Source organism: Homo sapiens, chromosome 15, assembly GCF_000001405.40.
Source record: "Homo sapiens chromosome 15, GRCh38.p14 Primary Assembly".
NCBI lineage: Eukaryota > Metazoa > Chordata > Mammalia > Primates > Hominidae > Homo > Homo sapiens.
This window is the reverse complement of record NC_000015.10, coordinates 30,074,893-30,097,568: the sequence shown is the minus strand read 5'-3', so window position 1 is coordinate 30,097,568 and position 22,676 is coordinate 30,074,893. Positions and strand designations below refer to the sequence as shown.

At 45.8% G+C, this 22,676-nt stretch overlaps 1 protein-coding gene and 1 pseudogene across 5 annotated transcripts, besides 1 other annotated feature; both read right to left on the bottom strand.

Annotated features, from left to right (window-relative positions):
* Nucleotides 1-878: 878 nt before the first annotated feature.
* GOLGA8J (golgin A8 family member J) lies at nt 879-14,614 on the bottom strand. Of its 5 annotated transcripts, none has more exons than NM_001282472.2 (19): nt 14,469-14,614; nt 12,679-12,798; nt 11,727-11,786; nt 11,465-11,545; nt 10,573-10,611; nt 10,263-10,310; nt 10,090-10,174; nt 9,885-9,994; nt 8,743-8,829; nt 8,529-8,636; nt 8,246-8,333; nt 7,613-7,869; nt 7,289-7,357; nt 5,959-6,034; nt 5,436-5,527; nt 4,761-4,861; nt 4,581-4,678; nt 4,330-4,485; nt 879-4,245 (listed from the first exon to the last, which is right to left on the bottom strand). In NM_001282472.2, the coding sequence occupies exons 1-19, from the start codon at nt 14,514-14,516 to the stop codon at nt 4,070-4,072; spliced, it is 1,899 nt and encodes a 632-aa protein (NP_001269401.1). In that variant the 5' UTR covers nt 14,517-14,614; the 3' UTR covers nt 879-4,069. The 5 variants fall into 5 exon arrangements, 4 of the variants coding, with proteins under 4 accessions (NP_001269401.1, XP_006720714.1, XP_047288919.1 ...); XM_006720651.4 differs by lacking the exon at nt 14,469-14,614 and adding an exon at nt 13,713-13,801; XR_002957674.2 differs by lacking the exons at nt 879-4,245; nt 4,330-4,485 and having other exon boundaries at nt 4,586-4,678; nt 4,761-5,180.
* On the bottom strand, nt 5,671-5,907 carry RN7SL673P (RNA, 7SL, cytoplasmic 673, pseudogene; annotated as a pseudogene).
* Nucleotides 13,616-14,195: an enhancer, noted in NCBI's record as "H3K4me1 hESC enhancer chr15:30375577-30376156 (GRCh37/hg19 assembly coordinates)". NCBI's record gives its function as "activates a minimal SCP1, AML or CMV promoter by ChIP-STARR-seq in naive H9 embryonic stem cells {active_cell/tissue: H9 hESC(naive)}" and the evidence as "EXISTENCE:reporter gene assay evidence [ECO:0000049][PMID:30033119]".
* Nucleotides 14,615-22,676: the final 8,062 nt, after the last annotated feature.

Genomic DNA, 22,676 nt, shown 5'->3' with positions numbered 1-22,676 from the left:
TGCTAGCAATAAATAAGTTTCCCAGCCACAAATAATTATTACAACCTCCTCCCCATGTGCCGGCTCCAACCTCAGCTAGGTATGACACAGGGGTGGCCCTACCCTCTGGAATATACAAAACCTTACACAGACACAATGTGTACACCGGGGAACGGGGGCCACCCCAGCAGCCCGTGCCCTCGCCTGGTCCACAGTTAGCCCCACTGTCCTGCCTCTCTGAATAAGAAGGGAGCCCCCCTGAGGGAAAAGTTGCTATGGTGAGAGTAAGGGGGACATCAGGCCTCCTCCAAACAAACCAACTCCACCAGCCTCTGGCTCTTAAATAACAATCATCATCATCCAGAAATTTAGGGACTCAGCCCTGGTCAGGGTGGCAAAGGGTCTGTTTGTCTTTCCCCATTAGACAGAGGTCTTGTCCTGCTACCCTAATTGTAAAGGGGTGCCTGGGAAGGGGTGGTAGGGACATGGTGGCGGTGGAGACCCCAGCCCCACTTCTCCAGGCTTTGCTGACAGGGGCCTGCTTTTAATTTTTATTTTTATTCCATGACTTTTTAAAAAAGAATCCCGTAACTTCTTTTTCATAACTTTTTTGGTAACTTTTCATAATACTGTTTTCTACTTTGTTCCCACAAGTTTTTTTGCCACAACGTTTTTACATTTTTTATCCCATAACTTTTTCACCCCATAACTTTTTTAATCCCATAACTTTTAAAATCTTGTGTTCTTTTAAGAAACACTTGCATAGTTATATTACAACTTTGTAAAAATGAAACACATTATCTCATGCCAAGCATGCCCAGCATTTGCACAGTATCAATACCTTTAATACTATAGTTTTCAAGAAACGCAAAATAAAATTTTAAGACAAAAACAACACATTGAAACAACTTAATAATTTATTACATTACAGTGGCATCACACCAGCAGTCAATAAGGCCACTCTAGGGAAAAATCTTTCAGTATTTCCACGACACATTCTCTTTACAATAATTCATAAACTGGTAAAATTCATTCTAAGAAAACTTGGCAAATAAAACTTTGGACTGGAATTGGCATTTCTTTCTCTGCTTTTCGTTCCCACCATTTCTTTCTTTTATACTACAGTATTCATATTTTAAAATGTTTTAAATTATTTCAGAACATTAAGATAGCAGTTACATTTTTTAATAGTTATATTATTTTAAAATGACTCTTTAAAATAAAGTTTTAGAGAAACTATATTATGGATAGGGCTGATTTACATTTTCAAATTTTCTAAAATCAGCTTTGGTTTTAGAGCTGATTTTTTTTTTTCATTTCTGGAAAATTATCAGGTTGAATCAAATACTTTTAAAATGATTATTATATATTGCCATCTTTAAATAGGTGTTTTGATTCTTCCTACAGACATTAAAATGTATTCAGTGGAACTCACAGTTTAAAATTCTATGTTTCTGATGAACTCTAACATTCCAATGTTGCCTTCTAAGCAAACTGAAAGCTGCCTTATACTGAATGAGGAAGAGCACAAATACTCGGCTGAATGAGGTATCGCAAAAGACTGCATGCACTTTGGAGAAAGACTTGAGTTATTGTCATACAATTTCCATTCTTTTTAACTTTTTCTTAAATATATGACAAATACCTACACAAAGAGTGGTATTTCAGTCAATATAGTAAATTTATTTTCCAGACTGACCTTCAGCTTAAATATGCCAGTGTGTGATTTAATCCATAGGCACCTCATGAACACATTATTGTCAGATTGGTTACAGATGCTAAACGCTATCCGAAGGTCATTCCTAGTCACTGATATTTATCAGGGTAAAAGTGAAGTGATTTCAACGATAAAAGTACCTTTGCAATAATTTATCAATGTATTAGATAAACCCAGTTTCAGAATGATAAAAGAAAAAACGTTAGACCAAATAATGTGGCTGATTAACAGTGGTCCGATTTCTAGCCCGAGGGTTTAAAATGCTCTTAAAGTAACTGTCTTTAAACTGAACTCAAAGAATGCAAAAGCGGCAAGTTCAGAAAATAAAAGGCGAGAACAGGACTTTAAGTGCATTTTAAACCCACGGGCTACAAATCGTACCACTGTTAATTAGCTGCATTATTTGGTCTAAATTTTTTCTTTATCATTCTGAAACTGGGTTTATCTAATACATTGATACATTCATAAAATTTGGAAGAGTCAGTGGAAGTCACAAGGACCGAATATTTGCACTCTTTCAGTGAATGCCAGCAAATCTGTTATTCCATCGGTAAAATCGTATTGTTGCTCTCCTGTTAATGTCATATTTATAGAAGTATCATGAGGATGCCAAATGCTAAAAATGGAGATGATCTAGTAACTAGAAATCCCCACCGCAGGGAGCACACACACCTATCTCCCTGCATCCTAACAATGTGATGTGTTTTGGAACACAGACATTAGAACTTCATGAAGTTTTAACTGTTGAGTCTTTCCCAAGCATCATCAAGTTATGATTTAGGCAATATATAACTGAAATGTATTCATTCATCATGCATAGGCACAATCACATAAATATTGCACAAAATATGTCCCGAACAGAAACCCAGAGGTACAAAAACATATTTCACTTTGTAAAGAAGTCTGTGAGAAAATATAACTCTGTGATTGTATAGACACGTTTCCTGATAATACATTGACATTCACGAACAGTAGATTGCACTGCAGTTTGTACACATTTTAAGTTTCATAAACTTCTCCTTGATTTTCAAAGAGAGTACAATACCGTCTACTAAAACTCCTTTTTGTTTCAACTAAGTATCTCACATATATTAGTTTATAATAATGTTTCTATTATTTTTTAAAGTGTTTTCCATTCAAAGAAAAAGAAGTAAATTCCTATGTCAGAGTAACCAAGGTGGTTGAAGAATAGGTATTAGCCAAAGAGGTCTAGATGGTAAAATCAATCTTCAAGCCTCAAAGAATCTCCGTGAACAGAGAGGAATGCCAGGTGTCACACAGCTTTCCTTCACTCTAATTCATTCTTGACTAGAGCCTGTATGCCTGTTCCAGGAACGTTTGAACTCATAAAGGATTTCTTATGATCTTCACTAAATACATTAAGAAGAATGCCAACCAGTGCCCTTTTGTGTACTGGGACATGTAGTCATGTGATTAAAACAGGTAACATGAACTCTGACTTTAAAATGTATTGTAGATACAAATGCTCTAAGCTAGGAAAGGTTTCCCACATCCACAGTCAATGATGGGAACCTTTCATTCCTCAGAAATAAGCCCTTTTTAGGTCATCGAAAAAGAGTACAACTGCTGCAGCTCATGATGCAGTATCTTCATGAGCCCAGAGCACATACAAATCCTAAGGGAACCACCATAATACACTGCTAATTCCGGGCACCGGAACAGATGAAACACACTCTATCCTGCACGTACCTGCCAGAGGAGGCCACTTTCCTCTTCTGTGAGATTTAAAAAGCTCCCCCAAAAGGTTATCACTCCCATCACCAACACACAGAAAATGGAGGAAAGGCTGTTTCCAGTTCTTGGCCTTTAAACAACTCTAAATGTCAGTACTCATAGTGGCATATTACAAAGTAATAAACAGTGCACACTTGGGGGCAAACTACATATTGAGCTAATGAAGAGCTCACTGTGATTAAGATTAGATCAAACAACAGCAGAACATAGGCAAATTTTGTCTGAATTCTGTAGTGAATATACATGCTGCAATAACATTAAAAAAGCATGGCAGCCTATTCCAAACCAAAGAGAACAGTTTTGGGCAAAGAGTGGGTCTTTGTGTGTTTGAACTCCCACCACGTAAGGGCAAACTCGATATGCACGCTAATGACCTACAATTATGAAATTAAAAAAGAAAAATGCTAAAGGATGCCAGAGTGAACATCAGTGAGAGCCACAGACACCCACTCTCTTTTAACTTTTTACAAATAAACTTAAAACTATAAATTAGAAAAACAAATAATCATGAGTGACTCTAACATTCAAAGGAAGTAAATGAATTGTGTAGGAGATTAACCCCATAACTTGGTTTCTTATTTAAAAATTTCTTGAGCAGCTCTTTGAGGATGGTGATGTTTATCTCCTTCTTCTTGGCAGCCAAGCCCAGCACAAGAATGGCACACAGCAGTTGCTGCCCAAGCCTGGGTGCTCCTGGTGGTCCTGCACGATCGGCTGTGCAGTAGGCTTGTCAAGGAGAGGATCCTCCCTGGCCTCTCCTTGGGCAGAGGAGGTGAGGCTCACCTCACAAAGATCTTTGGAGAGAGGGAGGCAGGGATCTGAGCACAGTGGGAGCCCCCTCTTCCTGCCTGCCCACCCCACCTGAGGGCTCTACTCACGACCATGCTTGTCTGCAGCCCCAAGCTCCTGGGGGGCTGGGGCTCCTGGACCGGGCTCATCAGCAGAGTTGTGGGCAGCGGCCAGGAATTTTCTGTGCCCATTGTTGTAGTTGCTGTAAGCCGCAATACCATCTGCTGCAGCTCCAGCAGCTTCACCTGGAGGGAGGGGTGCTCAGCTGCCATGCCGCTGCCTGCGCCCACCCTCACACCCACCCCCACCCCCACCCCCACAGAAATGTTGCACACCCTACCTTCATCTCCTCCCTGAGCTCCAGCCTGATGGTGTCCTCCTCCCAGTGCCGCATCTTTGGCACGGCCCCCTGGTTCTGATAAAAGGTGATGGGTTTTCCTGCGGGAGGACAGGGCTCAGACGCTGGGGCCCCTCCGACGGCCCTGTAGCTCCCCCTGCCGTGCCCTGGCCTCCCACTCACTGATGGCATCTCTCTCGCCAGTGGTGGATGAAGCAGAGTTCTTTTTTCTTCACCAGCTCACTCAGGTCTGCCTTCTCCTCCAGGTGGTCCATAAAGCTGCTCTGGAGCCAAAATATTGCAGTCACATCTCGGCAGCGACCTGCCCTCAGGTGGCATTTTCAAGTCATGGAGAAGGTGGAGGTGAGTCCTGGCATGGGCCAGCTTCTCCGTGACTTCCTGCAGGGCCCAGTGGGTCTCCCCACTCACAGACTCGCCCCCAGGCCCTGGGGCTCCAGGGCCTCTGGCTGCCTCTGGCTCCTTCTGGGCCGAGGCCACCGGGTGAGCCAGGCGCTGGCAGGACACCCTCTGCTCTTTCACCTGCTCTTGTAACTGTGCCTGCTTCTCCTGGGCACTAGCTCCAGCGGACTTGAAAAATGCCACCTGAGGGCAAGATGTGAGCATTCTTCTAGGGGCATACACAGAAGAAATGGGGCAGAGAGGTGGAGCGCAACCCCTTCCCTTGGGGCCTCAGAGAGTGCACCTGTTGGCCACAGGTGAAATGGTGTCTGACCACTGGCTCTCGGAAGGGGTGAGGGTCCAGAGAAATCAGAAGGCAGGGAAACGAAGAGCATAAAGGGGTCTTGGAGGGACCACAGAGAAAGGTGGCAAAATGGGTGCAGGGGGAGTCAGGCTCACCATGGCCTCCCTGCTCTCCGGGTCCTCTGGGACACTCGGCATGGGCCGAGGTGCCTCCTCCCCCTCACTGTCCAGATGTTCTCCTCCGTGTCCTGTGGGGGGTGGTCAGACGGGTCTTCAGACAACCCAACAAGGGAGGTACTGTGGGCCCACCTCTACCTCCACCCTCACTGTGTAACCCTGAGCCTGCCCCTCCCCAGAGAGGAATGAGCTGTTGTTCTTTATTTTTACTTTTAAGAATCAAGATCTTGCTATTCCGCCCAGGCACACTCCCACTACTGGTCGATGTGGGAGTTCTGACCTGCTCCCTTTCTGACCTTGGCCAGTTCAGCCATCCTTAGGCAACTTGGTGACCCCCCGCTCACAGGAGGTCACCACACTGATGCCGAACTTAGTGCAGGCACCCGGTCGGCATAATGACCAGCTGTTCTAAAGGTCTCTTCCAACTCCTCAATCCTATGCTGCTAGCAGTCCCCCCTTCCTCCTGGGGCTCTCTCCTCTTCCTCTGAGCAGTCTCCCGTACCTTCCCCAGGGAGAGCCATGAGGCTCAGCTGGGCCGTTAGCTGCTGGTTCTGCTGGCTGGCAGCTTCCAGGTGCTCCTAAGGGGCCAGGACAGAGTGAGAAGGGGTGGAGTTTGCCAGGTCATCCCCCTCACAGCCCCATCCTCGGCAGCTCCCTCCCCTGGGTCTCCTGCAACTTTTGGCAGGCCATCTCAGCCACCGCTTTGCCCCAAGCTTCCTGCTGCTGCAGCTGGTTCATTAGCTGGGTCTGCTGCAGTCACTGCCTGTACAGCGCCTCCTTCTCACAGGTCAGCTGCTGATAGGCGGCCACCTGCTGCTGATAGGTGGCCACGTACTGCTGCAGGTGACCCAGGTAATGGTCTGGCTGCTGCTGCAGACTCTGAGCCTCTTGGCTCTTCAGCTCCACCTGCAGGAAGACCCTGGGTGTGAGGGCACGTGGTGGCTGGTTTCCAGATTCTGGGCCCATTAATAGGGTAGCGAGGGCACTGTGGGGCTCTGTCAGCTGCCCAGGCCCCTGTCCCCTTACTCCAGGCCTAAGTGACTGCCTCCCTTTCCTAGAACCCCATGCCTCCTTCCCCAGCCTCAAATCTCATACCCTCTTCTCATTTAATCCTCAGCACCTCTGTAAGGAAAATGCTAACTTCCCTTTGAAGTTAAAGAAACAGAGACTTAGAGATGCAAAGTACTTGAATGGTGACCAGTGGAACCGAGGCTGGAATCCAGTTTCAATCTAAGGAGTCTTTTTGTTTTGTTTTCAGACAAGAGTGTCACTCTGTGGCCCAGGCTGGAGTGCAGTGGTGCAATCTCAGCTCACTGCAACCTCCACCTCCTGGGTTGAAGCAATTCTCGTGCCTCAGCCTCCCGAGTAGGTGGAATTACAGGCATGCGCCACAATGTCCTGCTAATTTTTTTTTTTTTTTTTTTTTGTAATTTTAGTAGAGATGAGGTTTTACCACATTGGCCAGGCTGATCTCAAACTCCCGACCTCAAGTGATTCTCCTGCCTCAGCCTCCCAAAGTGCTGGGATTATAGGCATGAGCCACTGCACCTGGTATAAGGAGCCTGTTATAGCACTGTCTCTTCCCCTGTGATTGGGGGCTCCATGCCTCTAGCTGGGATGATGATGTCCAGACCTTAGAGGAGCCCAGGGCTACCCACCTTTAAAAGTCAGAGGCAGGAAGCAAGAAACAGTCACAGGACTGCCCTGGGGGGTGCTGTGGTCACCAGCCCCCAGGCTGGAAGCTGCCTCTGGCCTGGCACCTCCCCTCCCAAGAGGCTGCTGCCCGCCTCCCAGCCCTTCTTGGATGGGGTGGAGGTTTCCGTCTCCTTCACCTCGCCAAGCTTCTCCTGTAGCTCCTTTACTTGCTGCTCCAACTGCAGTGCGTTCTTGTTCTCATTGTTCTGGACAGAGAGAAGCAATCAGCAGCCACCCACTGCAGCTGGAGACCCCAGAACTTGGTGTCTGCCTCCCATGGCACTGGGAAGGCTGGAGGCAGGTTAGAAAAATCACCCCCTCTCTCCCACAGCCACCTGGCTCACAGGTGCCTTTAGAAGTAACATTTCATGTGAGGGCTACACTGCCCCATTTTAGAGGTGGGGAAACAAAGGCCCGGAGGTCTAGGGAGGAGGGCAAGCTCCCCAGTTTGGGCAACGCACCGGCTCCTTGAAGACGCTCTGTGGCTTGGCCAGCTGCTGAAGGCTCTTGTGCTGCTCCTGAATCCTCTCCTCCTGCTTCCGAAGCCTCTCTTCCTGCTCCCGAATCCTCTCTTCTTGTCGCTGGTTCAGGAGACTTATGCGCTGATTGTTTTTGACCTGGGCCTGGAGCTCTCCTGCCACTCTCTCTAGTTCCTTCCTCAGGTGCTGCAGCTCCACCTCAGAGGGCACTGCTGGGGGCTCCGGGGGCAAGGGTTCAGCTGACAAAGGAAGCAGATAATAAGGGCCTCTGGATTCTCGGAAAAGAAAAACCCTCCTCTTGGCGCACAGCTCCTCTCAGGCTCCTCAAACTTGGCCTCACTGCTAATGATTCCTCGCACCCAGATGGTAGCCAGTCTTCCAAAGCACTTTCAGAGAAAGAGCACTGCGGGTGGCTGACAATGGGCCCTCTTTGCTGATGGGGACACTGAGACACTGAGACTCATTGAGATGACAAGACTCGCCGTCTCCTGGCACAGATCTCTTTCCCTCTGCCTCAAAGCCCTTCCATCCACCCACCTCCCTGGGGCACTCTAAGCCACCCTCACAGCCCTCTGATGCCAGTCCTGCTCCCAGGTCATGCCAGCCCCATCTTACCCATCTGGTTTTTGAGTTTGGACAAGCTCCTCTCCAGCTTCTCTACCCGACGCATATCTTGCTGCTTCTCTTTCTTTAATGTGCAAATCTGCCCAAAGCACAAGGGGAAAGGGCCTTGGAGAGAGGGGCTGGAGGCTGGACAGGCTGCCCTCTCCCTCTCTGCCCCCACCTCCACAAAGCCCAGACCCATGACCACCTCTGGCTCTACTATTCCCATTTTACAGATGACCAGAAAGATCCAGTGACCTATCTAATGTGGGGGGGCTGAAGGGTCAGATCTCACCTCCTGCGACATTTTTCTCATCCTCTGCTGCCACCGGGCCCTCTCTCCTTTTAGATGTTCAGAATACTCATCTCTTTCTAATTGGACTTGTTGAAATGACTCCTTGAACTGCAAGAATGGGCACAGAACTTAGGAAGGGCTGTCACTGGTCCTCACCTGCTCCTGGCCACCTGGGGTCATCTTCCTTCCACATAACTCCCTCAGAAAACCTCACCTGTGTCAGCTGCACTTTCAGTAGTGCCTCCTCCCGCATGGACTGCTCTAACTTCCACTCCGTACGTGCTTTGCTGCGGCTGGACAACTGGATGGTGAAGAGTGAGAAGTTTCAATCTGGAGAGCCTGGGCATTTCCACACAGTGCCCCTTAAAAGGGCTAGGGCTAGGCCCAATATACAACTCGGTCAGTAAAGATCAAGGCATTTCCAAGCCCGTGGTCTGGTTTTTAAAAGAACTCAGTAAAGTTGGAACGGACAGGGAATGAGACTGAGTTTATAGCTGGCTAACAGAGGCCCAGAGAGATCAGATAATATTGCTATTGTTATTACTGTTATTATTACCACTGTTTGAACCTTTGTGGAATGCTTCACCAGGTACCGTGCTAACAATCCCATTTAATCCTCGCAACCACCATAGGAGACAGTTACTATGATTCCCTCTATTGTGGAGATGAAAAAACATGGAGTATTTGAGGTTAAGTGCTTGCCTAAGTTCACTTAGGCAGAGCTGGGATATAAACACCCAGGTCTATCCAATTCTCTAAGCCCGTTTTTCTTGCTGGGGATGGGGGCACAGATAGGAAGGGGAAAATTAATCTTTTGTTCACTTTTTGAAAGGATGATACATTTGCATAGTCCAAAACTCAGAAGGTACAGAAGGGAAGTATCTCCCGGCCATCTTGTTGCTCTCTCCTGAATTTTTTATGAACCCTTGCAGACATGTTTTATGTATATTATCACAGTATGCACACACACACACACACACACACACACGCACACACGTTTCCTCTTTCTACAGAAATGGTAACATACTAAAGGTACTCTTCTGTACCTTCACAGTACAAGTACCCAATACCCCACCTAGGACTAGGACTTGCCCAAGACCACAGACAGGTAAGGGCGGGGCAGGCACTTGGCCTCCAAGCTCTGCGTCCAGTGCTCACTCCACACAGTGACCCCCAACTCACCCACAGCAGCTGACTCAGCCCCAGGCTGCCATTAAAAACCATACAAAAAAGTAGCAAGAAATGGCCATGCTGCCTTCTGGGCAGGACACTCCATCCTGCAGAAGGGACCTTTAGGCTCACTCCTCCATCTGCAAAGCCAGGCTCCCAGGGGATGGGGCAGGTGGTTGGACTCACCTGGTTTGCCTTCTTCTTCTGTGTGGCCATGACATTAGAGAGAACACTCTCTAACTCTCCTTTACGCTGCAATGAATGTTGCAGGCGGACAGCCAGATCCTTGGACTTTTCTGTAATGAGAGAGTTGAGATGGGGCCCAAAGGACTCCCCCTGAAGACCTGTCAAAGTGCCAGGTTGAAGGATGACAGGGTGCCCAGATTCCCACCTTCAAAGTATCTGAGAGAACGTTTCATGTGGTACAGGTCCGTATTTAGTTCCTCTTTCTGTATGTTCAATGTCTGGATTTGAACCTTTGGGAGAAAAGCCAAGCAAGTGCTGAAAGAGAAGGAAAGAAACCTTCTCCGGAGGACAGGAGGAAACTGCACACCCTCCACTCACCTCTAGCACCCTTTTGGCTTTCTGTTTCTTGTTGTTTGCTTTCTTTTCCTGTAGGAAGAGGAAGACAGAGCTCTTACCAGGGGGAGGCAGAGATGGCACAGCAAGAGACATGCCCCCAGAATGCCACCAATGCCCCAGGACAGGCCCACCCATGGGACCAGGTTATCAGGGGCCCTGTGGGGATGGGGTGGAATCTGAAGGGTGAGCCTTCATCCCCAGGCTGGGAGTGGGTGAGACGAGACTGGGGCCTGTATGTCTGAGTGCCCCCCAAACCCAGCAGTCATGTTGCGAGGAAACGAAATCACGTTACTTCTTCCAGCTGATGTTCCACTTGTTTCTTCTGTTGTTTCTGTGGGGAGAGTCAAATAAGGTGATGGAGGGTGGCCCCCTCAACTCTATTCCCCAGACCAGGAAGCGGTAGGCAGGGGCCAGGAATGGATTTTAAAGGCAAAGTTCTCAGACATAATGGGAACACGAACCGGTAAACTCTCCTCAAGCTCCCAAGGACAGAGGATTTGGGTCTTTGTTGGCTTTTGCCCACAGCCACAGAACTCAAAGTCTGAATCTGGAATCTCTTGAGAGGACAGCAATATAAACCTCTAGAGATGGAGTTTCAGAAAGGCCCCTCCTTCTGGCAGCTTGTGATTTAGAGAAGTGGGTTCATTCAATAAACATTTACTGAGCATGTATGGGCCAGGTACGGTTCTTTACAGCAGATATAGGATGGAAAAGGACAGACAGGAGCCCTTAGCCCTGAGGTTTCCGTTCTAGGGGGCCTTTAAATCTCAGACTCGAGAGCTAACAGAGACCTTTGATACTCACTACCTCCTCTGGAAACACGAGCCCAAAAAGGAGAGGTGGCTTGTCCAGAATCAAAGAGCAAATTAGGGACTGAGTCATGGCAGAAATACGGGGCCCTTGACAACCAGTCAGGCTAGCACTTCCCCAAGAGGCAACAACCCCAGGGCGTGTGTAGCAAGGACTCGAGCAGGGGTGTCTGGAGAGGAGAGAGTCGGCAAAGAGGGCAGCAAAAGAAGAGCCATGCTGCATGCTCTGGGGTCCCTCCAGGTGAGGCCTGGGCACCCAAGCTCCCTATTTGTCCCAGGCACCAGGGACCCCCAGCCCCTTTCTTCAGGGCCCCAAGGGGAAACTGGAGCCCAGGATTGGCAGCGTGGAATCAGGGGACCCCAGTGGACTCTTACCAGAGATTTGATGGTGTTCTTCAGTTGACTGATTTCTACGGACCTTGAATCCAGGACTACTGCTCGTTCTTGGCACGGGCTCTGAGGTGCATGCAGAGAGGAGGAGGTGGAGCAGGAGTGGGGGGAGAGGTAGAGAGAACAATCATTAGGGCTGGGGTGTGTGGGCTGTCTCAGCTGGCAGAGGGGCACCCAGTCCCACCTGGAGGAGGAGGTTGGAGGGTTGACCCGAAGGGTCACTGCACCTCCGCCCAGAGCCTCTTACCTCCAGATCTTTCAGGGTAGCAGATGATGTAGGGCCTTCCCTGTGGAAACCTGTTGCTGACTACAAGAGATGAGAGTGCACATGGAGATGTTCTGTCCCCCACAGTGTCTGAGCCCTCTGACTTCCTTTCTTCCCCATCAACTGGCAACATTTTCTTTTCTGCCTATCTTGGACCTTTTGTCCCATAACTCCTTTGTGCCAACTTCTCTCATGGTTCTTATCTCCCCACCATCCCATCCTGGGGCCCCTTCAGTGACTCCTGATGGCAAGTGGCTGTTCTCATTGTCCTGGTTTCCCCCTGAGACTGGGGATGAGGAAAATCAAACCATATCCTGGGTGTCCTGAGTGTTTACAGCAGGCCATGTACTAGGGATTAACATAAAAACAACAATAACAAATCTCATTTAAACTTCACAAATGGAAGTGAAACAATAACACCTCTATTATACAGATGTGAAAAGAGAGGCCCGATGAGGTCTAGCAACTTGCCCTAAATCATATCCCTAGCAGAGCAGATGGAGAGGCAGGATTCAAACCCAGAATTCCTTTTTTTTTTTTTCTTTGAGACAGAGTCTTGCTCTGTCACCAGGCTGGAGTGCAGTGGCATAATCTTGGCTACTGCAAGCTCCACCTCCCAGGTTCACACCATTCTCTTGCCTCAGCCTTCTGAGTAGCTGGGACTACAGGCACACACCACCACGCTTGGCTAATGTTTTGTATTTTTAGTAGAGACAGGGTTTCACCGTGTTAACCAGGATGGTCTCGATCTCCTGACCTCATGATCCGCCTGCCTTGGCCTCCCAAAGTGCTAGGATTACAGGCGTGGGCCACCACACCCGGCTAAAGCCAGAATTCTTAACCAGTACCCAGCAGTCCATCCACAATCTTAACAATTACCCTCTACTGCCCCTTGGGCCCCCTGTCCCCAGAAGCCTGGTCAGCCAAGACTCACATCCCTAGGTGGCTGGCAACCACCAGAAGTGGCTTTCTCAGGGATACTGCCATTTGTTTTCCTGTTCCTGTTCGCTCCTGCTGGAACTCTAGGGCTGTTTTTCTGCCAATATTCTTTTAACTGTTGGAAAGAAGAGCAGTAATACTCATGAGAACCGTCAGCCCCTACAGCCACATCCTCCTTTACAGTTTTTACAAAATACACTTACACACCATCTGATTTAATGACACCAACAACTGTACAAGGTGTTGTCACACTCATTTAGTGACTGAGAAGGATTGATATCATGGCTAGAAAAAAAAAAAGAAAAAGGCAATACTGGAACTTTGAAACTCAGTCTTCTGACTCCAAGCTCTGAGGTTTTGCCAAGAATCAGCAGCTGCCAGGGACCAAAACCAGAGGCAGAGGTAGAAAAGTAAACATTAAGTAGGCAGGAACTGTATGCCATGTGGTTTAGAGTCATACATCCTCACACGTCTGTTAGTGTGAAGAAGTGCACCAGTACCTCTCAAACTCTTATATCAATGTGTCCTCATGGCAGAAGGCAGCCTTTCTCTTAAATCAGAATTTATCAGAAAGAGGACAACCCAAGCCTCATTTCAGAGAGAGGTCTGGTATACTCTTAGAAACCTATGTGACTGTCATCCCTAAGTACATTCATGTTTTTTCTCTTGATCTCAAGAGAATCAAGGGAAACTGATGCTTCAGAAAGATGTCCCACATTTATCCTGTGGCACTCAAAGTACCCAAGGTTGAGATAATATGAGGAAGATTCAAGGTGTCAAGTTCAGTTTCCCAAGATCTATTCCACAGAAGATGAGCAAATGTCACTTCAGAGACCACTGACTGAAGGAGAGTCTGGTCCCAGAACCATGGAGAATTAGAATATGAGGTGGAGAACTCAGAAAAAAATGTTAAAATCTCTCTGGAAAGTAGAAGCCTGGGAGAAAACCAAACCAAACGCATTCTCTCATTGCCACCCAGAGATACTGTCAACGTTTTGAGTTCATGGGGGAAGTGTAGGCTTTTCCCACCGTCAACATCTGTAAGGGAGTGAGGCAGCCTGGAACCTCTTGCTCCTAGGTCCCATAGTCTCCATTCCCCTTCCAGCTGGAAATTTGTGCTGTGACCAGAGGAACCAGAAACGGGGTGAGAACGCTTAGGGGACTGGGTCGTAAGATCAAAGGCCAGTCTTGCAGTAACAGCAGTTACTAGGTGGACTGTGACATCACAACATTCCACTCCTCCTGGTCGGGGGGAGGGACCATGTCAGCACCATGTCCAAGTCGCTGCTCCACGATGGGGGAGGGAAGCACAGGGTTGGGACCCAGCTCCTTGGAGACGCCAGCACAAAGAACCCAGGGAGGTCGACCTTGAGGCAGCAGGAGGGGAGGGCACAGTCTGCAGCAGGGAGTCCCAGGAGTCACCAGTCCAAAGTCACCCAGGGATGACTGGCGAGGGTGGGGCCTGGCTCCTTGGAGATGAGAGCCCAAAGAGCCCAGGGAGATCAAGCTTGGGGCGGCAGGAGATGAGGGCCCAGTAATGGAGCGGGAAGCCCCAGGACTCACCCACCCAAAGTCACCCTGGGGTGATTGGCGAGGGCAAGGACTGGGCTGCTTGCTGAAGGGGTGGGGCTGACTGACAAAACTTTGGTGGGGGTAGCCCAGAGGCACCGGGGTAGGGGGGACCAGTCCAGTGTGCCTCAGGAGTCGTATAGACTCTGGCAGGGGTCTTGTCATCAGAGGGGATCTGTGGCTGGGTTGAGGGGCTATGACCTAGTGCGTTTTTACCTTTTTCTTGGCTGCAGCCAATTTGTTGTGTTGAGTTTCTTCTGCCATCGCAGGGTGGGGAGGGAGGCAGGGTTGGGGTCACAGCAGCAAAATCTCAATGAGAACCGATCAAGGCCTCCAGTCACCTACCAGGCAGCTGTGTGACTGAGCCAGAGGAGGCGTAACCAGGGCCCCAGTAGAATGCGGAATAGGGGCGTGGCCTTAATGCTCCAAGCCCATTGGTCAATGAGAAAGATGAAAAGGAAAGGGGGCGTGGCCAGAAAGCAGTGTGTCCAGAGGGACCTGTGGCTCACAAGGAAAGCTGCCCATGGCAACTGCTCTCCCCACCCACTCTAAGAGAGGGGAGAGGCCTCCCACTCTGGAAGAGAAGAGGGGCCGGCTTTTGCTTTAAAAGCTTTAAAACTTTAAAAAATATATGTGTGTATACTTTATATATATGTGTGTCCGTGTGTGTGTATCTATGTTTTTCTCCATAGCTGTCTTCATTATCCAGCTTCTATGCAAGGTCCATGATTTTGGCCTATATTTTTCATCTTTGATTACAGTACAAAAATTACCAGTATTACCTTAACTGAGATACAGATCCTATAAAAATGGAAAATGCATAGCATGCTTGATGATTAATGAAGCAGACTATATTATCCAACATTCTAATAAGATAAAATAATCACAATGATTTCTCTTTTTTGGAAAAATGTTTCTCTTATTCTCCTACGTTTTCGTTAAGATTTTTTTTCTTAAACAAGAAACATGTCTAATATCTGTAAAAACACAAAGCTTTTTGGGCAGGGTGCAGTGGCTCATGCCTGTAATTCCAGGACTTTGAGAGCCCAAGGTGGGTGGATCATGAGGTCAGGAAATCGAGACCATCCTGGCTAACACGGTGAAACCCCATCTCTACTAAAAATACAAAAAAGGCCGGACATGGTGGCAGGCACCTGTAGTCTCAGCTACTTGGGAGGCTGAGGCAGGAGAATGACATGAACCTCTGAGGTGGAGCTTGCAGTGAGCCAAGATCATGCCGCTGCTCTCCAGCCTGGCTACAGAGCAAGACTCCATCTAATAATTAAATAAATAAATTAATTAATTAATAAAAATAAAAAATTAATAGTAAGAGCAATGTGAACAAAAGATGCAATAAAATAATTTAGAAAATACAAGCTATTAAAAAAAAGATTTTAAAACTTGTGCAACAAAGTCAAACAGCACCCAACGAAAATGTATACCCTTACATGTTTGTTTAAAAAGCAATTTAAATTACATTGATCCACTAAACTAGGAAAAGCAAAGCAAACAAAAAGGGGGAAATAATTAAGACCTAAGGAAAAAGGAAAAAGAAAAACCACTAGATTTAAAAAATAAAACTAAAGGAGGATTCTTTCAAAAGACTGAGATAATAAAACAGTCAAGCCTCTGATAAGTAATCAAGATAAAGAAAACTTTGAAGAGAAAAGGGCATATAGCCACATGTGAATATGATGCAAAAAGTGAAAACTTTACACATCTTTACAACACCTTAGAAGTATGGATGACATGTTCATTTTTTTTTTTTTTTTTTTTTGTTTGAGATGGAGTCTCGCTCTGTCACCCACGCTGGAGTGCAGTGGCGCGATCTTGGCTCACTGCAAGCTCCGCCTCCCGGGTTCACAACATTCTCCTGCCTCAACCTCCTGAGTAGCTGGGACTACAGGCGCCCGCCACCACGCCTGGCTAATTTTTTGTATTTTGGCTTAGTAGAGACAGGGTTTCACCATGTTAGCCAGGATGGTCTTTATCTCCTGATCTCGTGATCCACCTGCCTCGGCCTCCCAAAGTGCTGGGATTACAGGCATGAGCCATTGCACCCGGCCAAAGTTTTCATTTTTTTTTTTAAGATTCTACAGTCACAAAAACTAACTGAAGAAGTGGAAAATCTGGAGACCAATACGCAGAAGAAGGAAAAAGACAAAGACTCATCCTCCAAATTGGATATTTATTTAAACCAGAATTTGTCAGCCTCAGCAATACTGATATATTTGGCCAGATAATTCTTTGTGGAGGGTTCTCCTGGTGTGTTGTCGGACATTTAGTAACATTCCCTCTACCCACAGAATGCCAATAAGACCTCCCGACCTTGACCAGTTGTAACCACAAAAATGTCTCCAGATATTTCGAAACGTCCCATAGGAGGCAAAATACTCCTGCAGTTGAAAATTACTGTGTAAACCAGATCTACATCCTAGATCTTAGAAAAAAGATGTAAAGCTTCCCAACTCAGCCCTGCATACCCTTGATACTGAAATGAAATAACAGCCTTATTGGAAACAAACAAAACTATAATCTTATTTAATACAGAAGTAAAAATGCAAAAATAAAATATTACCACAGCCATTCTAACAGTGTTTATTATAGGAATGCAAAGATGATTCAAAATTAGGAAAAATTCATTAGGCAATTCACAAATTATATTTCTACATATAATTGAAGGCAAAATCATGAAAAGCAAAGTAGCTCTATATGCATTAAGTCCATGATCTATTCAGTGAAAAACACAAGTTGCAGATGTCTTACAGAAGGAAAACTTAACACTGAACACATATTCTTACCATCTGCTCTTTGTCCTGAGGCTCCAATAGAAATACAGTGAAGAATAAACATTGTATAAGCACACAATTACAAAAAAGGAATGGGGTTACCAACAGAAGAGAATTCATCTTCATTAGACAATGACAGTACATGGAAAATGGTTAATTCATGGAGCAAAGCAAACAAAGGTGGAGGTCAGGGGGATACTGAGAACAAGGAGGCTAATCTGTCCCACAGCAACCTGGAAAGGTTCTAGACCCAGACACGAGGTACCCCCGACAGTGGGACTGATAGGCAAGACTGAAAACAGAGATTAAGCAAAAGCCCGGATAGAGAACACATTTCACAGGCCCTGAAACACACTGCTGGCCCCATCTCCTTAAACAGAACCCAAGCAAACGTATCCACCTCAGGCAAGACAATGTAGATTTTACATCCAGAGGAATGGAGTAGTCATCCAGCCATCATTTATGATTGCACCAGGAGATAAGATAGAGGGATGGAGGATAACAATTAGGAATCAGCATACATTCCCCCTAAAAGCTATCAGTTGACAAGTCTTGGCCACAAAGAACTCCCAATCAATTTTGATTTATTTTTATTTTTATTTATTTATTTTTTTTGAGACAGGGTCTTGCTCTTTCGCCCAGGCTGGAATGCAGGAATGCAGTGGCATGATCAGAGCTCACTGCAGCCTCAACCTCCTGGGCTCAAGCAATCCTCCTGCCTCAGCCTCCCAAGTAGCTGGGACTGCAGATGGGTGTCACCACACCTAGCTATTTTTTTTTTTTTTGTAAAGATGGGGTCTCACTATGTTGCCCAAACTAGTCTTGAGCTCCTGGGCTCAAGTGATCCTCCCACTTCGGTCTCCCAAAGCACTGAGATTATAGGTGTGAGCCACCACACCCCGGCTCCCAGTCTTTTAGTACCTCTCTCAAATATGAATGAGCAAATAAAGGAATGAGAAAAAGACTACAGGTCAGGCGCGGTGGCTCATGTCTGTAATCCCAGCACTTTGGGAGGCCAAGGTGGGTGGATCACCTGAGGTTGAGAGTTCCAGACCAGACTGACCAACATGGAGAAATCCCATCTCTACTAAAAATACACAAATTAGCTGGGCGTGGTAGCACATGACTGTAATCCCAGCTACTTGGGAGGCTGAGGCAGGAGAACTGCTTGAACCTGGGAGGCAGAGGTTGTGATGAGCCGAGATCACATCATTGTACTCCAGCCTAGGCAACAAGAGCGAAACTGGGTCTCAAAAAAAAAAAAAAAAGACTACAAATGATAAGCAACATAGAATAGATATTTAAGGAAAGGCTTTAAAAAGAAAAATAAGACCAAAATAAACTAAGAAAAAAAATTATTAAAGAACAAAGAGATGCCAGGGAGAAGACAAAGAGTATCAAAATCACTTCATAAAGACACTTGTGAATATATTACATGTATAAAACAAAACAATATGAATAAGAAATAATCAGAGAAGAAAAAGTTCTTAGAACTCATGCTCCATCTTGGGAGTTGGTCTCCAATGAGCCATACCTCCTGTCATCATGTCCTTAGACAGGCCCATCCCATAGTCAATCTGGGTTGGCCCCAACACTCACTTTAACCTATAGCATGTGGTAGAAATGACACTGGACCTGTTCCAGGTCTAAGCCTTAAGAACCCCTGGCAGCTCCATTTCTGTGCTTCTGGAAGCCAAAAATAAGAATTGGCTACCCTCTTGGAGAAAGAAAAGCCACATGAAGAGATTCGAGAGGATGAGATGCTATGCAGAGAGAAAGGCCACATGAAGAAACACCAAAGCAGCAGACCTGTGGGTGAAGAAGCCGTCTCAGACATTCCACTGCAGCTGAGCATCCAGATGACCAGTCCCTAACACTGTCTGACCGCACAGTGAGAGCTGCCAAATAAGACCAGCAAGAAAACTGTCCAGCTAGCCCCAGTTAATCCATACAGTAGTGACAGATAGACATATGTGTAGTTTTACGCCATTAAGTTTTGGGATAATTGGTTAAGCAACAATAAATAACCAAAACAAAACTTAAAGTTATGATAGTCCAAATAAAATTTCCTGAAAGTCGAAAGATAAGAAAAATATTCCAGAACTTAAAATTTAAAAAAAATTTAGAAATAATGTGAGATACCAGACTCAAGACAAGAGGTCTAAAATCCAATTAACAGACACTTCAAAATGAACAAATAAAATGGAAAAGAGAAAGTTAACAACAAAAATATGACAAGATTCAAGACTCCAACTTTGAAAGAGCCTATCCATAGGCCTGTCCATTTGGTGTACCCAGCACAATGAATGAAAAAAGACCCACACTAAGTACACTGTTGTGCTATTTCAGCTCAACAAGGAAAAGACAAACTCCTAAAAGCTTCCAGGGAGAAAGTCATGCATAAATAAGTGAAACTCAGGATGGCATGAGGCTTCACCACCACGACTGGTTAGAAGACAACAGCACAGACTTTGAAATTTTAAGGTAAAATTATCCTCAACCTAGAAATATATAATCAACCAAACTATCAATCAAGTGTGAGGGTAGAATATGAGAGACGTGAATACTGATGGGGATGTGATATGCAGCAGGCACTGTTCTAAATGGTTTACATGTACCAGTTCAATAAATCCTCATAGCTCCCTAAAAACATAGGTACTACTACTATTACTGGTTCCCCCATTTTGCAAATGGAAAATTCATGCATAGGGCAATTAGGGAATCAGCCCAAGGACATACAGCTAATAAGTAGGAGAACCAAGATTCAAACCTATCTCGGACTGGCTCCAAAACTCAAACACTGGGTCATATTTTTTTGGAAGCTAGAGCTCAGAAAAGATACCACTGCATGCTTTCTTAGAGTTTTATTTGAGGATGTTGTCAGGGAAAATGAGAAAGGTTAAGCCAAGAAAGATGACATGGGATCCAGGAAACAATGGATCTACTCTAGGAGAGGAGATGTGAAAAACCTCAAGATGGCATCTGCACAGCCAACCGAAAGAACAACCTGCCAAGATGGGCTCAGAGGAGCCAAAGGCTTCAAAAGAGAAGGAGATCTCACAGAAAGGGCTACAACAGCATTTTTTTAAATTAAAAATTACTACTATGAGGAAGACCTGCAAAACAAAAAGCAGCGCCAAGAAAAGAAATATCCTATCCTAAATATTCTAGAAAACTTGGCTTTATTCTACAAAGTCCTAATGATAATTAGAGATTACTTATATGACTAAAGATAATATTTGAGGAAGGGGAAGTGGGTGGTATAAGAGCTAAATTCTCATGTATTTTAGTAAAAAGTAAATAACTGATGCCTAAATAGGTAAATCCAGGAAGAAGTTAGAGGTGGTGGTGAGCTAGTGGAGATTTCTGTTGCTTGCAGGAGATAACATTTGGGCGAGTCCTTAAGAAGCATAGACAGATGTAAGGAGATGGCATTTCTAGGTAAAGGTAATTGAATAAGCAAAGACAAAAAAAGAAAGAAGCAAAAACATTTATGGACACCAGGAATATTAACAACAAAAATGTGGTGGTATGGAGAAGGGCAATTGTTTGCCTGTCATAGTAAATATCAGCAGCTCCAAAGAATGAAAGATTATTTTTAGTACCTAAGACAGAACAAAACAATTCAACAGGAACAAAAAAACCTAATTTCTAAATAAGTTGAATAACAAAAAAAAATCATCCTAGTTTGACTTTTGCTTGAGACAATTTATTTTATCTCTTGAACACTACAGAATTTACTTTACCTGTAAATAATACATTATTATTATTATTATTATTATTATTATTATTATTATTATTATTATTGAGACAGAGTTTCACTCTTGTCACCCAGGCTGGAGTGCAATGGTGTGATCTTAGCTTGCTGCAGCCTCCACCTCCCAGCTTCAAGTGATTCTCCTGCCTCAGCCTCCCGAGTAGCTGGGATTACAGGCGCCCACCACCACGCCTGGCTAATTTTTGTATATTTAGTGGAGACAGGGTTTCACCATGTTGGTCAGGTTGGTCTCAAACTCCCGACCTCAGGTGATCCACCTGCCTGAGCCTCCTAAAGTGCTGGGATTACAGGCGTAAGTCACCGCTCCCAGCCTAATTATTTTTATTTGTCTACTTGACTTTTTTTTCTATCCTTACCTGCACCTCTTTCCTGGAGTAGGAAAATACAGGAATTCATGAGTCCATCCCAATATGGACTCCAAGATGCTCCAGGCTGTCTCTCTTACTCATCACGAGTCTATATTACACACCCAGCACAAAGTGGACAGCCAAACAAAGAAAATCTTGGAGTAAAAATGGCCTGCAACAAAACTATGGAAACAGTGAAAAGATCAGTCATTGCCAGGGGTTGAAGGGAGGGACGAATGAATAGGCAGAGCATAGAGGATTTGGGGGCAGTGAAACTACTCTCTATGATACAATAATTATAGACACATGTTATTATACTTTCAACCAAATCCGTAAAATATCCAACACACCAAGAGCGAACCCTAATGTTAACCATGGACTTTGGGCAATAATGGTGCATCAATATAGGTTCATTGATTGTAACAAATGGACCACTCTGGTGCCCATGTTGGTAGTGGGGAAGGCTGTGAATGTGTAGGGGCAGGAGCTATATGGGAACTGTCTGTACTTTCTGCTCAACTTTGCTGTGAACCTAAAACTGCTCTAAAAATGATCTATTTAAAAGAGAGAGGAGGCCAGGCGCGGTGGCTCACACCTGTAATCCCAGTACTTTGGGAGGTCGAGGCGGGAGGATCACGAGGTCAGGAGTTCAAGACCAGTCCGACCATCATGGTGAAACCCCGTCTCTACTAAAAATACAAAAATTAGCCAGGTGTGGTGGCGCACACCTGTAATGCCAGCTACTCAGGAGGCTGAGGCAGGAGAATCGCTTGAACCCAAGAGGCAAAGGCTGCAGTGAGCAGTAAGCCAAGATCGTGTCATTGCACTCCAGCCTGGGCTACAGAGGAAGACTTAGTCTCAAAAAAAAAAAAAAAAAGAGAGCGAGAGAGAAAGGAAATGGCCTAAGAAACTACAAAATACCACAAGATGGCACTCTTTCTCTCGGAAGCTTCAATGAGGGCTGCATTTCCAGAAATTGCTACTGCTGAAGAGTGTAGCAGGGATTGTGACTGCCCCCGGCCCCGTTATTCATGAAGCTAAAAGAGCTTCACAATGTTGTCCCAGCCCAACCCCAGGTTTATACTTTCCATGGCTGTTATTAAAGATAGGTATTATTATGATTCAGGTGTGATGAGGCCAACAGATCAGGAGATGACTGCTGCTGGAAAGAGAGTTTTTTACTGTTCCCAAGAGGAAGGGGCACCAGGTAGGTCAGGAGACAGAGCAGGAGGAAAACGAGGGCAAGAGCCTTTCTTGTGGTTTCCACGGGAAGGGACAGGTGAGGCAGGGTAAGCAGACTTAGCACTGACTGGTTTGAATAATTTCTGGGGCATGATTGACTGGGGCATACGGCTGTCCGTAGTATTCTGGTAGCTGGCCCTGGGGTGACTAGGGCAGGTGGATCCTGGCCCAGAGTATAGGAGTCTGAGAAAGGAGGGGGCTGGGGTATGAGCACTGGATTGCTTGATTTTTTTTTTTTTTTTTTTTTTTTTTTTTTTTTTGAGATGGA